This window comes from Homo sapiens, chromosome 2 (genome assembly GCF_000001405.40).
Source record: "Homo sapiens chromosome 2, GRCh38.p14 Primary Assembly".
Taxonomy (NCBI): Eukaryota; Metazoa; Chordata; class Mammalia; order Primates; family Hominidae; genus Homo; species Homo sapiens.
Window position 1 is genome coordinate 1,084,247 of NC_000002.12, and position 19,374 is coordinate 1,103,620.

A 19,374-nucleotide genomic window follows, 5' to 3' on the forward strand; every position below is an offset into this window, starting at 1 on the left:
GAAGGGGGCATTTCCCCCCTTACTCGCAATCCTGTGATCAGTGTTTCTGAAAGAGGTGCAGATGTTAGCAAAGTATGACGGGTTTCCCGAGAAGGTCCACAAAGATCCCACCGTAAACCGTTCTGCTGTTGATGTGTATCGTGTACAAGTGGCTCCTGTGAACATCCTGGCTCACACCTTCAGTTTGGAGCCCCTCCTTCTGTGGCTGGCACCCGGTCCGCCCTCCTGCTCCCCAACATGTCCCCTGTGGCTCAAGGAGGCGAAGGCTCTGGGATGGGGGCAGGGTCCCCCTTTCAGTTGCTCTTCCCTGGAACCCCAGCCCCAGAACCACATCCCACCACGTGCCCTCTTCGTTCTGGCTCCAGGACTGCATCTGTCTTCGTCTGTTTGAGTTGCTGTAACAAAATCCCCAAGCTGGGTAATTTACAAAGAACAGAAATGCATTGCTCACAGTTCTGGAGGCTCAGAGCACAGGATCAAGGTGCCCGCAGGCTGGGTGGTCTGGTGAGGGTCTGCTCTCTTTCCAGACAGCGCCTTGAATGCTGCATCCTCCAGAGAGGACGATCACTGTGTCCTTGGGTGGCGGGAGGAGGAAGGGGTGAGATCTCTCCGCCAAGCTTTCGTGTGAGGGCACCTGACCCCATTCATGAGCTCACAGCCCTCATGGCTCAGTCACCTCCCACAGCCCACACCCCGGCACCACTGCCCTGGGTAGTAAGTTTCCACGTGAGCTTTGGGGGAGACACAGACATCCCAACCACGGCCTCTGCGTTCAAGAGGCCACTGTCGGTCTTCACGGGCTCATACAAGATTCCCACAACCCTGAGGCTTTTTTTCCCCGACATGTAGATAAATCGCATGTCTGCTTTTATGTCGTCTAATCACTAACCATTATTTTTTTTCCTCCACTTGTTCTAAATACCTAATAAGAGTGGGCTTGAGCAAAGAAAAAAATCAAGGAAGCTTTCGTAATCATTTTAAACTTACCCTGCTTAATAGAGATTTTTAACTATAGAAAATCTCAAAGTAAAAACACTAAATGTTTTTATGCTGTATTGGCTAGAAAAAAATAAATTACATTTTAAAAGTCTATAGCATCAGGTTCTCTACCAAAAGTTAGGTTATTGGTGAAAATGAAAGACTCCTTAAGAAAAATGGGCCTATGCTCATAGGTATAGACTTATGCGTACAGTTTTAGGTGAATTATTGACTCCAAACCTCTAGTTATATTTGTATTCCCACCTGCACATTGGAGAAGACAACATTAACGGATAGATGTGTGTTTTGTTTTCTTGAACCTGCTGAAAATAGAACCACATTATCCGTTAATGATAGATGACCATAAAACAAAAAAGAGCAAAACTAGCTTTACCTTTAACAAAGCCAACAGGTCTCTAAATTCTGTCCGTGTATCCAGCAGTGCAGAATCTGAATTGATGTATTATTTTACTTCCTATTCCTTTATAGTGACATGAAGTGTCGATGTTTAAGGATCTCAGGATTCTGTCTCCCAGAGACAGTGTGGGCTTTCAGGACGGGAGAGCCGGCTTCCTCTTACCTTTCAGAATTTCCATTTAGATTGCTTTATTTCTTTTATAATTGTCATTGTGCATTAGATGTTCTTTTAATTTATAAGTCCATGTTGGTACTTTGAATTAATGGGGTGGGATGCTGTATATTACACTTGTTATGTTAGGTCACGGTAGATTTGCAGTTGGAAAGTATTTTAGAAAATTTCACATCTTCATTTTACTATTTAGGAAATTAAGATTCAGGAAGAAGAAGGTATGCGTCTAATATTACAGTTACTCACATAGTTAAGACAGCAATGGGCACAGCTCTGCTAATTTATAATCTAAGGGATGCTCTCTGATAAGTTAGTGAAGACCACACAAGAAACAGACAACCACAAGCAGCACCAACACAAACAGTGCTGGGTGACTATTAAAATAGTGTGAGTTTAGAGAGGGCTTCAATCACGGAAACTGGTGTGAGGTGATTTAACCTGTGCATCAGGGGACAGCCCAGGGGCTGAGCCAGAGAGGAAGACACGGGCTCGCTCTCTCGCTCTCTCTGTCTCTCTCTCTCCTGCATAGAAGCAGAAAGCCCAAAAAGTCAGATCTTCTGTGAGTGAACTTGAAAAACAATCTGTCCCTTAGAAAGGGACAGTCAGAACATTCACCTGGAAGAGAGACAAAGACACAAATCCCGAAGGATCCCAACCCCACATCTGCCCTCATGGGGGTTTGGTGCTGAGATTTATGACATAGAAACCACCAGCAGAAAATGAAGTTTAATGTTTCAGATTTGGAGGTTCCCCAGGTACGAAGTAGAAGCAAAATGCACATTCTCTCCAGCACAATCTACTCTAATGAAGGCCTCAGGCCACTGCCAAGTGTAAGGTCACAGGACCCTGTGGAGATCCTAAAATTATTTGTTAATGCAGAAACGGACTCACTGACAATTCAGGTTAAAAATGATCTGATTCACAATATAAAGTACTTGGATTTATTATGTTTCAAAACATGAAATAGGATATATAAATATGAAAAAGGAACAAGGGGCTATAAAAAGTCATCCAGCAGATGTGAAAACACACCAAGATAATATCTAGAAATTAAAATAGAAACAATACCTGAAATGAACCTCCATGAACAATTTAAATAACGTGTTAGGTACCAATGAGAAGCATGAAGTATAAACAGAGCTGAAGAAATGACACAGAATGGAGCACAGAGAGCTGGGAAACATGGAGGGAAATGGGCCTGGAGAGTGGCCTGGGGTTGCTGACATTTGAGGAATCCGGGGTGCTAAGGAGCAGAAGGAGGGTGGCAGGAAACGGAGGTCAAGGAGGCAGGGCTGACAAGTCTACGTAAGTGCTGGCAGATAGCAGCCCTCAGGTTTAGATGGCCGACAGATAGCAGGAGGGGTAAATAAAAAGACAGCGGCACTTCCTTCTGGTGATGCGCACCTGCTGTTGTGCACACCTGCTCTTGTCCTCATGGCTGTGCTGGCCTCATGAAGAGTTTGGAGGGCTTTCCTCTCTTTCTTCTTCCCAGAAGAGTTCGTGTAGCATGGCTGTTCTGTCTGTCCTATAGGAAGGCTTTGTCAGGGTAATGTAAGTCTGTAGACTTAACTATCAGAATTCAAAGTACATCGTGCTCTAGCCCTGACCTAACCTCTTACTGTTCCCGGGTAAATGCAGGTTAGGCCACTGGCCACACTCTGCTGATGCTGCAGTATGTGATATTGACTTTGCCACTCTGTTAGACTATATGTAGCTTAACATCAAAGACCATGGTGTTTTCTTCTGTTTCCTATATGTATCTTTACAACTGTGCAAATGAGACTAAAGCCATTTTTGAATGATTGAGCGCATAAGTAAATAAAAAGACATATTTTAGAATATGCAAATTAAGACCATTAAATAACGTATGGTAATGTACTAATCGAGTCAGTCTCAAGCCTTTGAGCCTTCAAAAGGCAGGCAATTACAGTGGTCCACTGAGCTTGTGAAAATCATTTTTAAAATGTAGGTGTATTGCTTCTATAACAACCAACGTGAAGGAAACCCAAGATCTGTGATTTGAATTTGAATTGAAGAAGTTAAAGTCTCTCAGATTGTTGAATGGATCATCACACTTGCAAGCGTGTAGGAGTTTATGATAAATTCTATACACAATATACAAAATTCTACACTTGCTTGTCATACAGTCAATATTTCATGGCTACTTTATCTAAATTTATATCTATATTTCACACCCAAGTTGCTTCTTATTCTTTGGGTCCAAAATCAGGAGTAGACATCGCTTCTGCTTTACTTTTTTAAATTCTAACCTTAATCTTTATTATTTTATGTCCTTAAATTAGGCAAATGACCAATTTCCCTTACAATATTTTATAATTCAGCCAAAATACAAGTAATTTAATAGGAACCCTTTTAAGCTAATTGGACACTTTATCAGCATTATGTATTTTTCTGTTGATAACTTTATTGACAAACATTTATTAGTTTGTTAACTCTTCCATTTTTCTCAGATCCCAACACAGAATCTGTTTCTTTCCAGTTTCTGAAAACCAGTTTCTGTGTGCTTCTTCATGCACTGAGTCAGCTCTGATGCCTGTGTGTGTCGCCTAACCTGTCTTTCTTGGTTGGGTCCCACTCCGCCTGGCACCCCTGGTCCTGCTCAGGGCATGTGAGCTCTCATTAGTCCATTAGGGGAAGGTCTGATGGACACCTCGGCCTGTGCTCCACAGAGCTCATCAGTGTAGAGCAAACATGCATGTTTACAAATGGAATACTGCATAAGAAGAATTGGCTACTGTTCCTAGAAAGTAGAAAACAGAAAGCAAAACAACTGCATTCGGAGCTTTCATTTGTCAGTGACTCACCCACCAGTGGAAGAATCATATAAGCTCATTAGAGTGTGTCCATAGTCAAACTGTAATATGAATTCTTCCCTCGTTATGTTCTATCCCAGGGCCTACCAGATGTCTTGCTGATTGCCTGGCTGGCTTTAAGTGGGAGGATATCCTTCTTACGAAAATCACTAACTACACTTCTGTAAGGCATCCATTCTTGTTTGAAATTGATTTCTCTTGTGTTTAAAATGGCCACTGGCCTTTTTCTTGGATGAATTTATTTCCAAAAGATTTGTCTCCACAGCGGAGGATGGCATGGCGAGGCAGTATGATTGGAACATAAACAAACTGTAAGACACAAAGTGCTGGGAAAAGTGCAGATAAATTTGGAAGCAAGTGATTTGTGAAATTTCACAGGTACGGGGCTGAAGGCTGCAAGGATGAACCAGGGCTTTGAAATTCATACCTTCAGGAGAAAAGTGGACAGTCTTGCTGAAAAGGCTTCTGAAACAATTAACAAAATGCAGTCGTCAGCAAAACATCTAGAATTTATCTGTCATCACTTGGATAGTGGCCGACTCTTACAAAATTTACCTTCACCTTAATTTTCAACACTATTGAGTTAGCTCATTAAAATGTTATTTAATGGTACCCAGAATAGGGTTCACTTTAATAAGGAAAGTTCTGGTTTAAAGAATATGAAAACCTTAAAATAATGAACAGTTTGGCCGTATTCATTATAAAAGTTTACACCAAGGTTTAGTTAAAAATAATAGTTTACACTTTGGGAGTCTGAGGCAGGAGGATCACAAGGTTAGGAGTTTGAGACCAGCCTGACCAACATGGTGAAACCCCGTTTCTACTAAAAATACAAAAATTAGTCGGGTGTGATGGCAGCTCCCTGTAATCCCAGCTACTCAGGAGGCTGAAGCAAGAGAATCACTTGAACCCAAGAGGTAGAGCTTGCAGTGAGCCGAGATTGTGCCATTGCACTCCAACCTGGGTGACAGAGCGAAACTCCGTCTCAAAATAATAATAATAATAGTTTACATATGTTTGTGTACGAGGGTGTGTGCACACAAAAGCACACTTTATAAAGAAATCAAATAGCGCGTCACTCAAGTAGAACTTTCAATAACTAAAATCTAACAGCAAAGACAGTTGCATAATCTGCCAAACATTTTTATTTTTTTAAGTATATAATTTTTCAAACCTAAAAAAATTGAAGTGAGCAAACAGAACCCTGTGCAATTATTATTAATATTTATTATATGCCAACATAGCACTAGATTGCTTTGGCTCTGTCTACGTTATTAAAGAGTGAAGTGTGCCTCCACATCTGGAGCCTGACTGCTTCCTCACTGGCCTTTCGGTACTGATGCTCCTACCGACTGTTCCATTTACATTTTTAAATTCTTCCTTCATACGCATTTTTCCACAGACAACATATTTTTTGTGTGTTTTTCAATTGTAGATAAATGGAATGCCATTAGGTGCTCATTTTGCAAACGTTATGCTTTTTAAATGGATCTACAATGCATGAAGATAAAACCTGCTCCATGTAGATCTACTTAGTCCATTCCTTTAAGGACTATGAGTTGTTATATGAACTGTCCAAAGTTGATAAGTTTTCTGCACATTCTTAGTTGGATGTAAGTCCCCACAAGAAAAATTTATATTTTCAATATTACCAACATATTTATTTTAATAAGCCTAACTTTGCAATGATGTGTACATTCGCTAGAAGTTAATCTGGGGCTCATATGTGGTGAGTTCTTGTTACCAGCTGTGAATCCACAACCGTCTGCAGCAAACTTGATTCTTGCTTCCTTGGAGGAAAGAACTGGGTTGAGGGGCAGAAAGAGGTTTAAGTCAGAGGGAGAGAGTGAGGCCAGTTTTAGAGCAGGAGTGAAAGTTTATTAAAAAGTTTTAGAGCAGGAATGAAAGGAAGTGAAGGACATTTGCAAGGGCCGGTGGGTGACTTGAGAGATCAAGAGCCCCATCCAGCCCTTGACTTGGGGTTTTCTCCATTGACATGGTTCCAAGGTTTGCAGCCCCCCTTCCCTGATTCTTCCTTCGGGGTGGGCTGTCTGCATGTACAGGGCCGGCCAGCATTTGGGAGGGGCCGCATGCACTGTGTGTTTCCTGGGGCTGTGCACATGTTCACTTGAGGCGTTTTTCCCTCACCAGTTGAGTCCACCCAGAGGAAAGTCATAGACCAGTTAAATACCACCCTTTTGTCTTGAAGTGTGCATGCTTGAGGCCACTTGCCCAGCTCCTGAGATCTTATCGGGAAGCTGCTTATCTCCAGCCTCAGGTGTTTTCTATCTACCGGGAGACTGCCTTTTCCTGGTACTGGCTGTGCCCAATGATCATTTTAGAGAGAAAGTGTAACAACCACCTGACCACCACCTGATGGTCGCCTGACGTTCTGGGGCTGGGGCCCATCTCCTGCCCTGTTCATGTCTGCTCTGTGATATGGTTGTGAAGAGCGAAGTTGAAGGGCGATGACAGGCCCATTCGCATCTGTGACTAATCTTGGTGGGTGCCCAGCTGACTGGCAAGAGCAGTGCTGCCAGGTGTGGAGCTGGCAGGTGAGAGGCAGCTGACATGGACAGACACCCCTGCTCCTCATCACCTGCCCTGATAGTGCAGGCCAGGCTGACCAGGAAAGCTGCCAGCCCCAGGTCCCTGGACCACTTGGGACAGCTCCCCTGGAGGGCCAGGCCCATCAGTACAGGGGCTGGGGGAGGACAGCTTAGGGTGGAAAAGCCCTGGAAGCTAATTCAGAGGAGAAGAGCATCTTCAGGTTCCTCCTGTACCCCATCAGGGATCGAGGCAGGGGCTCCAGATGGACCAGAGACTCTGATGCCAGGACGCAAACATCATAAGGTCATGGCGGCCGGGGGCCTGGTTCCTGACTGCAGCTCCCAGAGACCCCAGTGCACTGTCCCCGCATCAGGTTAGGGCTACGGGGCCGCTCCCCCATGAAGCCCGCCAAGGGCAGCTTTTGTCATTCCTGGCCTGTGCTTAGACCTGAAGAAACTCATACTCAGGGCTTTGGGTGTGAGAAGCCAGATCCAACTCCTCAAGAAGGTGGAATACTATGGAATCATTGAATTTTTAAAATTTAGGAGTTATCATACACTTTTCAAAACTCTAATCCCAGGATATTGAAATCCTTCTAATAAGGATTTAACATCCAAATTAAGCAAATATGCACAAGAGTTTTCAAGTAACTCTTCTTAGTTTGAAATCATTGCATCCAGACACTGAGAAATAGTTTACTTACTTCAGATGGCAAATCCAGGCTCCCTCAGCCTATTTAGGAAATTTTATTTGAGTGAATTACTTTTAAAAAGTGGAGAGAGATTCAATGCCCCATTCTGAAAAATGCCTTATAGAGTGTTTGCTAAAGCAAAGGGAATGTCCAACTCTGTGGAAGAAACAATGCCTCCTGACTCAACAGCCCCCTCACATAGCCCCAGGGCGAAGTCTGTTAGCACATTGTTTTCTGAAATAAAACTCTATGAGTATTTTTGAAAGTATCTTTCATGTGTGGGTGTGAAATAGAATACTTCAGAATTGTTTTTCTATAAATTTCTAATTTTTAAAATTTAACTTTCAAGCCCTTCAATTAGAGAGAGAAAAAAAAACCCTTATTTTCTAGGTCCCTCGCCTTTCCCACATCTCCATTCTCTCCTTACAAGAGTGAGGCCAGGCCTGTGTGAGGAGTAAGACCTCCAGGGAAGGGAGGGGGATCGACGAGGACCTGGGGAGAGAGCAGGGGGATTAACACCCCAGGTCATCCTGTCCTCACCACAAGAAGGGTTTTGGGCTGAACAAACCTGGGGGCAGGGTCCTGGCTGGTGGCCATGGTACAGGCGCAGTGTTTTACCTGTAGAACTGATTGAAATCTTTCTGGAAACTGCAGTATTAAAATCTGAACATGAGTTTGCAGCCATAACAAATTTAAATTTAGTGTTAAGTCCACAGTTTAAATATCTGAAGTAGAATTGTGAGGCCCATTCATACATGTAATTCAGTAATAACTTGAAGAACAATGTTTTAGAAGACCAGAATAAGAAATATGATCTTATATACCCCCAAACCACTTTTTTGTTGATGAGAAATGTATAATTGATAAGTTATCTATGTCATAGAAAATAGCTCGTTCTTAAAATATGTGGTCAGAAGATAATGTGGAGATAGCTATGTTCTATTATTAATATAATGATGCTGCTACCAAGATGTGAACATTAATTAAATGTCATAACATAGTTTGGGATTAAATGATAAAATGCAGAATAATATTTTATGAAAGATTTTATCTGATATGTTTGTGAAAAGAAAAGCAGGATTGACTTTGAAAATAATTTATTGAACAATTACCTTAGATTGCAACCTCCATTCTGTAGAAGTTTTATGATACATTCGATTGTATTCTGAATTTGTTCCTTTGGTGAGTCCCTGGAGCCCCTGAGTATGGTAAGTGAGGAGGCCGTGATTATGGGGGAACGCATGGAATAGGGGAGTCAGGCCATAAATTAGATTCATAATGAGCCTCGGGGCAGCTCACGATCCGCACCTGCTTGTGGGTCCTTGACTTTAAGGGGTATGTACTGGGAGAGCATTGAGGCAGCGGACTGTTTTGGTTGCATTAGAAATGCCTTTTGATGACATTAGTTTGTCTAGATATCAGCTAACAGAGCACTATGGAAATGCTACCCAGAACCTTAAATTAAAGTGATCAGCTGTGGGTTGCCTCTGGGGTCATAAAATAATTAGGATGCAGGAGGCAGGATAACTTCAGCCAGGCTGCTGTGTGAAAAGTTCCAGTTAGAAGCTGCAGAAGTTTTCCTGTTTACTTTTTATCATCCAGTAAGTTTTATAAATCTTGGTTTGAAAAGTAAAGTTCCTAGATATGCTAATGTTAAAATGTTAGAGCCTTCATAATTATATAATGTTCATTTCTAAAAGTGTGAAAACACAAATTGGCTGAGCCTTTTCTCTCAACTTTGACACACTGAAGTCCTGGTGTTTGAATGAGGTGGTTTTAAAATAACGATTTTTCATGGATAAAACTAACCACCTTGGTATTTTTGTTAAACCTGATGGTCTGTAAGGTGCTTTCCACAGTGATCTTCCTTCACTCCTGTTGAGGCAGCTTGGGCTCCACCGTAATAAGGAACCACAGGTGGGCTGGCTTAGGCAGCAGGGACTCCCTTCTCACCGTTCTGGGAGGTGGAAGTCCAACACCAAGGTGCTGTGGGTTTGGTTACTGGCAAGGGCTGCCTTCCTGGCTTGCAGGCGAAGGCCTTATAGGTGTGTCCTCATATGGTAGAGTTACTGGCAAGGGCTGGCTTCCTGGACTGCAGGCGAAGGCCTTATAGGTGTGTCCTCATATGGTAGAGTTACTGGCAAGGGCCAGCTTCCTGGCTTGCAGGCGAAGGCCTTATAGGTGTGTCCTCATATGGTAGAGTTACTGGCAAAGGGCTGCCTTCCTGGCTTGCAGGCGAAGGCCTTATAGGTGTGTCCTCATATGGTAGAGTTACTGGCAAGGGCCAGCTTCCTGGCCTGCAGGCAAAGGCCTTATAGGTGTGTCCTCATATGGTAGAGTTACTGGCAAGGGCCAGCTTCCTGGCCTGCAGGCAAAGGCCTTATAGGTGTGTCCTCATATGGTAGAGTTACTGGCAAGGGCCGGCTTCCTGGACTGCAGGCGAAGGCCTTATAGGTGTGTCCTCATATGGTAGAGTTACTGGCAAGGGCTGGCTTCCTGGACTGCAGGCGAAGGCCTTGTAGGTGTGTCCTCATATGGTAGAGTTACTGGCAAGGGCCAGCTTCCTGGCCTGCAGGCAAAGGCCTTATAGGTGTGTCCTCATATGGTAGAGTTACTGGCAAGGGCTGGCTTCCTGGACTGCAGGCGAAGGCCTTATAGGTGTGTCCTCATATGGTAGAGTTACTGGCAAGGGCCGGCTTCCTGGACTGCAGGCGAAGGCCTTATAGGTGTGTCCTCATATGGTAGAGTTACTGGCAAGGGCTGGCTTCCTGGACTGCAGGCGAAGGCCTTATAGGTGTGTCCTCATATGGTAGAGTTACTGGCAAGGGCTGGCTTCCTGGACTGCAGGCGAAGGCCTTATAGGTGTGTCCTCATATGGTAGAGTTACTGGCAAGGGCCAGCTTACTGGCCTGCAGGCAAAGGCCTTATAGGTGTGTCCTCATGTGGTAGAGTTACTGGCAAGGGCTGGCTTCCTGGGCTGCAGGCGAAGGCCTTATAGGTGTGTCCTCATATGGTAGAGTTACTGGCAAGGGCTGGCTTCCTGGACTGCAGGCGAAGGCCTTATAGGTGTGTCCTCATATGGTAGAGTTACTGGCAAGGGCCAGCTTCCTGGCCTGCAGGCAAAGGCCTTATATGTGTGTCCTCACATGGTAGAGACAGCGAGGTGGGGGTGGGGAGAGAAAGAGCAAGAGAGAAAAAAGAGAAAAAAAAAGAGAGAGAGAGAGCGCTGTATCTGCTGTCTTTTCCTGTTCCAACCCTATCAGATAGGGCCCACCTGAATGACCTCATCTGACCTTAGTTACCTCCTACAGGCCCTACCTCCAATGCAGTCACACTGGAGGTCAGGACTTCAACACGGATTTTAGGGGGACACAGTCCCATTCCCAGCACTTCCTATTAGGGCTCACAGTACAGCTCTCACTTTCCAGATGCAGAAACTTGATTTTAGAGAGATTTAGAGACCTAAATACCTAAATGGCTAGTACAAATGTACACAGAAAGGAACATTTCAAGAGACTGCACAAAGCAGGTATGAAATAAATATTATTCTGGCTTAGCTAAAATCATAGAGAACAAGCCCTTCACATTCCAGTAAACATATATTTATGTTGGTTGTTAATGGTGTAATTTTTTTCTTACCTATCTTGTTAAGAATATTAGTCCAGATTTTACCACAGGTGATCAGTTTCTTGATATTTTCTTTGAAATATCAAGGATATTTTAGGGTATTTCAGGATATCTTCCTGACATGTATAAGTGAGTCAAATGACAGTTTTAAAATGTCATTCTTTGGCAGTCTATCAAGGCAGAAACTAACTTGTTTCTTCTCAAAATGTATTTTCTCTCGTCTTGTACTTGCTTGCATGAGTTTCAAATACTTACACTAACAGCTACAATTTTAAAATGTTATTGAGCATTTTCAGAAATTCCATACAGAGAGGCCTCCAGTTACTATGACGTAGATAATTCAATTTTCTCATCCTCCATAGCCTTAGAACTCAGAAGCGTAAGGCTGTTTGCTGTGGCACACAGAGGAGCAGCTGGCAGGTGGACGGACGCCTTTCTCCCCACTCCCTCAGTTGGCCATGAACACTACAGAATTTAGCGTCTGCTGAGGGAGGGAATGAACCCCCCCTTGGTTCTGCAGTCCACATTCATTGTGAGATGCATTCTGGCCTGCAAAGTCAACCGTCCATGTGTTGAGGAGGAAAACGGTATGCCTCCCACATGCAGGAGTAACTCCCTCTCCCTCCTCTATAGAGGATATCCTTGGAAACCCTCTGTCCACATAATGGGATTTATTTATTCAGCTTTATTGAGCTACAACTAATAAAAATTGTACATGCTTAAGGTGTACAGGGTATGTTCTCATATGCATATACATTGTGAAATGCACACTACAAACAAGCTAATACATACATCACCTCTTACAGTTACCTTTGTTTTTTGTGGTGAGGACATGTAAGGTTTATTCTCTTAGCAAATTTTAAGGAAATATGGTATTATTAACCATAGTCACCATGCTTTCCATTAGAGCCACAGAACTTGTTTACCTTACAGCTGAAATGTTGCACCCTTTGGCCTGCACCTCCGCCCCCCAACCCTGAACGCCCCTGGTAAACACGGTTCTACCCTCTGCTTCTGCGTTCAACATCCTTAGATTCCACATGCAGGAGACCGTGTGGTATTTGTCTTTCTGCGCCTGGCTTATTCGACTCGGCACAGTGTCCTCCAGGCTCATCCATGTTGCCACAGATGGCAGGATTTCCTTCTTTATGGCTGAAGGATGTTCCATTCGGTGTATCTACTGCATCTTCTTTATTCTCGCATCTACTGGTGGACACTTGGGTTGTATCCATATCTTGGCTGTTGTCAGTAATGCTTTGATGAGCAGGTTTAAGAGCCTGTTACTCTGTCCATTGGTGCAGTGTCACTGGGAAGCATCTGTGGCATTTCAGGTAAATACTGAGAATGTGGATGCAATGAGAGCCCGTGGTATGGATGTCCCAGGAGTGGCTCTGACTTTGCTGTTCACAGTATCTGGAATACAGTCTAACACCAAGAAAAAGCCAAAACGATCACTCTGTAGCAAAGCCCCCGAAATACGGCTCTTTTTCTGTGTATAAAATTATTTTTGTCAGTTAAAAATACTATATGTCCAAAAAGGATCGAAATGGTAAAATTTCCAATTAAAGTATTATTTGCTGTGTCCCCATATACACACTTTAACACAGGTATATTTGCTCTAATTTTTGGTTTCTTTCCTTTGAGTTTATGAAGTATTTCCCCCTAAGAAGGACATTCCTGGGGTATCTCAGGCTGCGGAAGCCCTCACAGCAGCCTCCCTGCATCTGCACCTGCACCGCTGGCCGGGGCGGGAGCTCCCAGGTCCCCCCTTCGGCGTGGGCTCTGCCACCCTTTTACTTCTTTGTCCTTGCTTTGCACAGCAGATTCCTTTCAGAGCCATTCAGCCTGAACATGCTCATGTTTCCTCTTAGAACTCAAAGAATGTCTGTCACTTCTGTTTTTCCTGTAGTGTATTTTTGAGGTAAAAGCACCCTTTGGCCACTGTCCGTCTACCCCAGGCTGCCTCTGTGCGCCCCCTCAGAGCAGCACCAGTCACTCATGTCTACCTGAAGTTGGCAACAGTCGCATTCATCAGATTAGACCACAGCAAAACATAGGTGCATGGCTTAATGCGCAAGAGATTTGGAGATTTTTTACCATTTCACTAGCCAGTTAAAGGCCTATTGTGCTTTTAGCTTTTTATCACAACCTACCCTTAAATATCCCAGACATCTGTGGTCAGAGGACGTGAAAAAATGGATCATTCATGAATTAATATTGGTTGAAGATTGTCCTAAACACGGCTGACTTCAGCAGAGACGTACAGTGAAGCGTGAGCCGGTCCTGGGGTTGGTGGGTAGAGAGCGGTTCTAAAACAGGACTGAGTGCTCCGCCCCACTTCCCTTTCACCACCTGGGAGAAGGTGGACCCCTCGTTTCTTCATGGAGCTCCGTTCCTCACAAGCAGAATGCAGACGGGATGACAGTTCTGTGGGGATTCTTCCTGGATTTCAGACAATGCCTGGAATGGGGCCTATTCTTTATCACTGTCTTCGTTTTCATACGTGCAATACCACGGAGTAAAGATTTGAAATAGTGTCATTACTGTCATATTTAGCCAAAGTTGCTTTGGAAATATAATTTAACACGTATTTGGGTTTAAATGAAGAATTTCTTTTGAATTCACTTTCTGATAGTGCATTTTAACCTAAACTTGGTTTGTTTTCTAAAATGTTTTAAAGCGCAGAACTGTTACACTCCGCAGACAGCCAGTTGGCGGCTTGGGCCTGAGTATAAAGGTATGGAAATGGTTTTCTCTATTCCTGCTTTTTATTTTTGAAGAACTTTCCAGTGTGAATCATGATAACCACGTTTCTTTCTGATGGCTTTGTCTTTCAGGGAGGTTCTGAGCACAACGTCCCTGTCGTCATATCAAAAATATTCGAAGACCAAGCAGGTAAAAACAGCCAAAATGACCTGTGTATGCATCACAGCCATTTGTGAGATAACAAATTACTGAAAATGATAAAAATCAGCAGATATGTGTTTTGCTCGATTACCTAAACTTCCGTTTTATTTTTGTAGCTGTGTCTTGTTTCAAAGGATGCTTCTTATGCCCTGATCTGAGGCTGCCCTTTTTAACCTCTGCTGATCCCTCTGGCCCTTAAGAGAGACACTAATTCTCTGTTTGAGGTATCAGGTTATCCCCCCTCTAAAGATATTGATGATTCAGGGGTTTGAATGCTGATTTTAAGGTATTTTAAAAATCGAGGAGAATTACATATAGATGGAGAAGTCCATGGTGTTCGTTGAAGTATCTGATACACAAGTCTCTGAGCCTAAGAACGTAATGAGCCTGTTGCAGGACTAGCTGACCGCGCTCAGGTGGGGCTGAAACGCCGTCCGTTCTGCACTTGGCAGCTGGTGGTACTGCACTGACTACCACCTCCATCCCTGAAATGAAACACTGGCTATGGGAATAATCACAAGAATAACTGACATTCATAGGGAGAGATTACTCTGTGTAGAATCGAAAAGTGAGGGTGGGATTTCTGGCCACACATTCCACTATCGGGTAGACTGTTTCTCATACAATTCGATTTTGGACATAATGAACCCCCTGCGGTAAACTCCATGCATCTGTCTCCCTATCGGGAGGATTCTGCATCCTTGTGGCTGGCCTCCTCCCACCTGGTCCAGCAGCTCCTGGGTGTGCAGCCTCAGGCCACTCCTCCCCTGCTCTCCAGAGCAAGGGGCACCTGGACATGCGGTCCGTGTCGGGGGGTGGGGCGGTTAGCTTATGTCCTTGAGGCCTGCAGGGGAACAGGAAGCAAGACAGAGTGGGCAAGCGGGTGGCCTTATGACCTCATGTGCCTCACACCGGAAAGCACAGCCACTGCAGGGGACCCCTGGCTGTGTCCCTGGAGGGGACATGCTTCTCTCCACGCTCCACCAGAAATGTGGAGGTTCTGGGTGAAAAGCACAGAATAAGCTCATACTTTTTCTCTAAACATTCTTACTCATTTCACCCAATTTTACCCAAACCATAAGCCCAGTATGCAGGTAGAGTGCCCTGAAGAGGCTGGAGGTCCCAGGCTGGGGAAGCCTTAACCATGAGCCCTCTGAAGGTGGGTGCAGTGAGGGCAGTGATGGTCAGGTCCTCTGAAGGTGGGTGCAGTGAGGGCAGCGATGGTCAGGTCATCTGAAGGTGGGTGTGGTGAGGGCAGTTGTGGTGAGGGCAGTCATGGTCAGGTCAGCCATGTGTGGTGCAGGAGACCATGTTTTGCTGCAGAGATTGCCCCAGTGGGATTTGGATTCCCCACAGCAGCTGTGAACACGTTCTCAGGGAAGAGAGGTTTCCACAGAATGCGTTGCCATGAAATTTGCATCCGGGTAAAGATTCTTTTTCGGCAGAAGGACATTTAAGAGTCAGGTCAGCAACACATTTTTCTCCTTTTTGAGCAAGCTTACAAACCTGCCGTTAAACTTGCAGCAGATGGGATTCCATTTAATCAGGAATTAGGGGCCAGCAAGCCCCGAAACCCAGAGGCAGTCTCAGCCTCAGAGGCAGCAGGTGCTGTTCAGAAGGAAACCTAGAAATTTAAGTGTGATAAGAAATACAGGTTAGTTGTAACCAAGATGGCGGGAAAAGTGAGAGAGCTATGCAGGCCTCTGAATGAAAGGACGATTCTTTTCCAGGGTTTTTTTTTTTGGTTTCTTCCCCCACCCCACTGACAGAGTCTCACTGAGATGCCCAGGCTGGAGTGCAGAGGCGCGATCTCGGCTCACTGCAACCTCCACCTCCCAGGTTCAAGCGATTCTTCTGCCTCAGCCTCCCGAGTGGCTGGGACTACAGGTGCCCGCCACCACGCCTGGCTAATTTTTGTATTTTTAGTAGAGGCGGGGGTCTCGAACTCCTGACCTCAGGTGATCTGCCTGCCTCCGCCTCCCAAAGTGCTGGGATTACAGGCGTGAGCCACCGCACCCAGCCTCTTTTTGAGGTTTTTCGAGCATTTCAAAAGAAACATTATGATTCATTTGAACTACAGTATTTTGTTGCATGTATTACATCAAGTGTTATAATGGCGGTGTTGACGAGCTTGGCAGGGCCCAGTGCTTTGGCTCATATAAAGTGGGATTCCACACGGGCGCCGTGGGTCCACCGTTGCTGTGTCGGGCGTGGTTGGTTCTTGTTGCACCCCTGAAGCCATCTGGCTGACTGATGGATAGTGGAAAGAAGGCATGGCCCAATGCAGCTCTGTTCCTGTCCTCTTTGCAAACATTTTCAGTTATTTTCATTAATGGGTTTTTTTTTAATTGGTGGATATGATGAAAAGTCTCAGAAAAGAGAATAAGACAGTAAGGTTAGCCAGTAGGTAACGTTCAGTAAAGGATGTTTATGGTCAATTCAGAAGGAAAATCCATTTTACCTGTAGGGGAGAAACAGCTCAAGAAGGCTACACTCCCTGGAGTGTGAACGTGACCCTGGGGTTGTAGCCCGTGTGCCCTCCCGAGCCTCATCCCTGCCTCAGGCAACCAAGGCTTGGTGAGTGTGGTCAGGAGAAACTGGGACCCAGGAGATTCCAAACTTAGCAGTCTTCAGACCATGCTGATGCCATTCTCTTCTGACATTGGAAGCTTCACAAGTAACTCCAGTGTGGTAGCCCCAGTGGGAGGTCCCCACGCTCCTCCCAGGCCTGCTCCCAGGCTCGCATTCTGTGCCTCCTGCAGATTTCCCACCCAGAGCCTGCCTGCCTGCCCCTGCTGCCCCCTCCCCCAGCCAGCTTGCCTGTCTCCATCCTCACCACCCCTCCAGGCCCAGGCCCAGGCCCACGACCTCAGCAGGCACTTGGAGATGAACTTACATGGTTCCTCCCTGCACCTGCCTCTCCCCACTGGGATCCATTTCATCAGCTGTGCCAGAATTCATGTTTTAGAGACACATTTATATCCTCGTTTTATGCACATTCAGGAACAGAAAGTCCTGGCAATGAATTGGGAGTTTTTAGGGATCAGAAGCTTGGTCTCATTTATTTTATGTCTTCCATTCCATGTAAAACACAGAATGCATGTTTTGCAGGAAGCAGAGCCCCTGGGTTGTCCTGAATGTCTTGTGTTAAACTGACACAGGAGTCTGGCCTCAGGATGAAGGGAGTGCAGGAGGGCTGTGGGACTTCGGTGCTGGAGCCCAGGAGAGCATACCCTCTACCCCACGGAGCACAGCGCTGCCAGATAGGGCGGGATGCAGACAAACCAAATGCGGGGTGATCAGTTAGAACTAGGAATACCTACGGATGCTAAGAGAAGCTGTCTGCATTCCTCCACATTTTAGATCCTCTTCTGGATGAGCAGGTCTGCAGTTATCCCCAGGTGATGAGAGGCCGGGACAGGTGGGAAAGCTCTCCAGCTCTCATTCTCCAGGGACACCAGAGCAGCCAGGTAGCCCGAGGCTTCACCTCGCTCATTTTTAAGAATGAGGCAGTTGTAAGATGTTAGATCAGTGCAAAATATAAAATTATTAGTGTGCTTATTTATCCATGAGTTTATCCAATCATATTTAATAAACAACTTCTACAGATAAGACGCTTCTCGGGCCATCCGCAGAGACCAAGGCAGAATTCTTGCCATTGCAGAGCTTGTAGACAACTGGAGAAGGCAGGCAGTGAACACGTGTGCGATACATTTGCAGAGATGACGGCTCCTGTGGAGTGAGCGAAACCGTGGTACAGAGGAGACGGGGAGAGGGCGCTGTTTTTTGTAATGTGGTTAATGCTTTTATCCTGTGAGTAAGAGAGTCAGCTGAAGTTGGTTTAAAATTAGTGTGATTAGGGTAGCTTCTCATTTAAGAAAAGTCACCCTGGCTGTTGTGAGGAGGCTGTTCCAGGAAGCAGGGAGGAAGGTGGAGAGCCAGTGCAGGGTGCAGGAGGGGCTGCCGTGCCCTGCCCTTCTGGGATTTTGGTGAATTTGTAGATAAGTGGCCAGAAGCCGGATGTCCTTGGAGGCTCCACGTCACATGCTGCTGAAGGGTGGGCTGCGTGTCTGAGAGGAAGGAGGACTCAGGCCAGGTTGAGGTTTCCTTTTAGCCTCAGCACCAGGGGGGCTGATGGTGCGTTTAATGAAATGGCCGACACAGGTCCTGGGTTGTTGAGTGAATGTCAGAAGCAGAGCGTGGACAGCAGGGGCTCCGTGCTGCGTTTCAGGGCTGATTTGCTGGCCAGTGGAGTGTACCTGTGAGAGGTTCAGAGGACGATATCAGGGTAAGAGAATTTTTAAAGAGAGGCATTTAAATTAAGTGAATGGCACTGAGGTGCTTCCCCAGAGACTTGCTGTAGGTGGAGAGGAGAAGGTGCCTGAGGCCTGAGTTAGGAGTGTGGACAGCCCAAGGCTGGACACTTGCCTGATGTCCGAGTGGAGCCAGGCAGCCCAGCTCAGCTCACTCGCACCTTGAATTCTTCGCGAAGTGGCTCGTGAGCCTCTGAATTGCCTGAGCAGCTTTGCAGAGCATGACAGAGCCAAGACTCTGATTGTACCGTTGAGGTGCGGCCTGCGTGCAGGATTCCACACCCTGGAGCCCCCGCCCCCTGGTCCCTCTGATGTGGAGACCTTCAGACCTCACACTCCTCACAGGGGACTCAGGATTCACAGGTCCACGTCATGGGTGTGGAGAGGCTGGGAGGTCGAGATAGGTCTGAGACTCTCCTCAGTGCAGATATAGGGTTGAGCACATATGTCTAGACATTGTTTAATACCTAGTGAGATTGTATATTTTGGGGAGATCTATAATTATTTTTATTGTGTTTAATGGGAAATTTGTTAATATTACATTTGAAAGGTTAAATATAATTTTTCTTGACATTAAATATCAATCACAAATTTTAATTCTTTCAATTCATTAACCTTTCAAATAAATAATGATTATAAATTTCTTTTTTTTTTTATTTTTTTTTTTAGATGGAGTCTTGCTCTGTCGCCCAGGCTGGAGTGCAGTGGTGAGTTCTTGGTTCACTGCAACCAACCTCCACCTCCCAGGTTCAAGTGATTCTCCTGTGCCTCAGCCTCCTGAGTAGCTGGGATTACAGGCACCCGCCACCACGCTCGGCTAATTTTTGTATTTTTAGTGGAGACGGGGTTTCACCATGTTGGCCGGGATCATCTCGATCCCTTGAC

At 45.3% G+C, this 19,374-nt stretch overlaps 1 protein-coding gene across 15 annotated transcripts in view, besides 1 other annotated feature; it reads left to right on the forward strand.

The window, feature by feature from the left end:
* SNTG2 (syntrophin gamma 2) overlaps positions 1-19,374 on the forward strand; it is a 416,765-nt gene that overhangs the window by 133,398 nt on the left and 263,993 nt on the right. For 13 of the 15 annotated variants that reach the window (NM_018968.4, XM_047444795.1, XM_017004374.1 and 10 more), the window contains exons 3-4: positions 13,950-14,006; positions 14,107-14,164. In NM_018968.4, the coding sequence (NP_061841.2) occupies positions 13,950-14,006; positions 14,107-14,164 (115 nt within the window). Of the gene's footprint in view, positions 1-13,949; positions 14,007-14,106; positions 14,165-19,158; positions 19,197-19,374 lie in introns of those variants that run through there. The other 2 variants (XM_047444794.1, XM_017004363.2) reach the window with 2 other exon arrangements.
* Positions 6,629-7,130: an enhancer, noted in NCBI's record as "H3K4me1 hESC enhancer chr2:1086561-1087062 (GRCh37/hg19 assembly coordinates)". NCBI's record gives its function as "activates a minimal SCP1, AML or CMV promoter by ChIP-STARR-seq in naive H9 embryonic stem cells {active_cell/tissue: H9 hESC(naive)}" and the evidence as "EXISTENCE:reporter gene assay evidence [ECO:0000049][PMID:30033119]".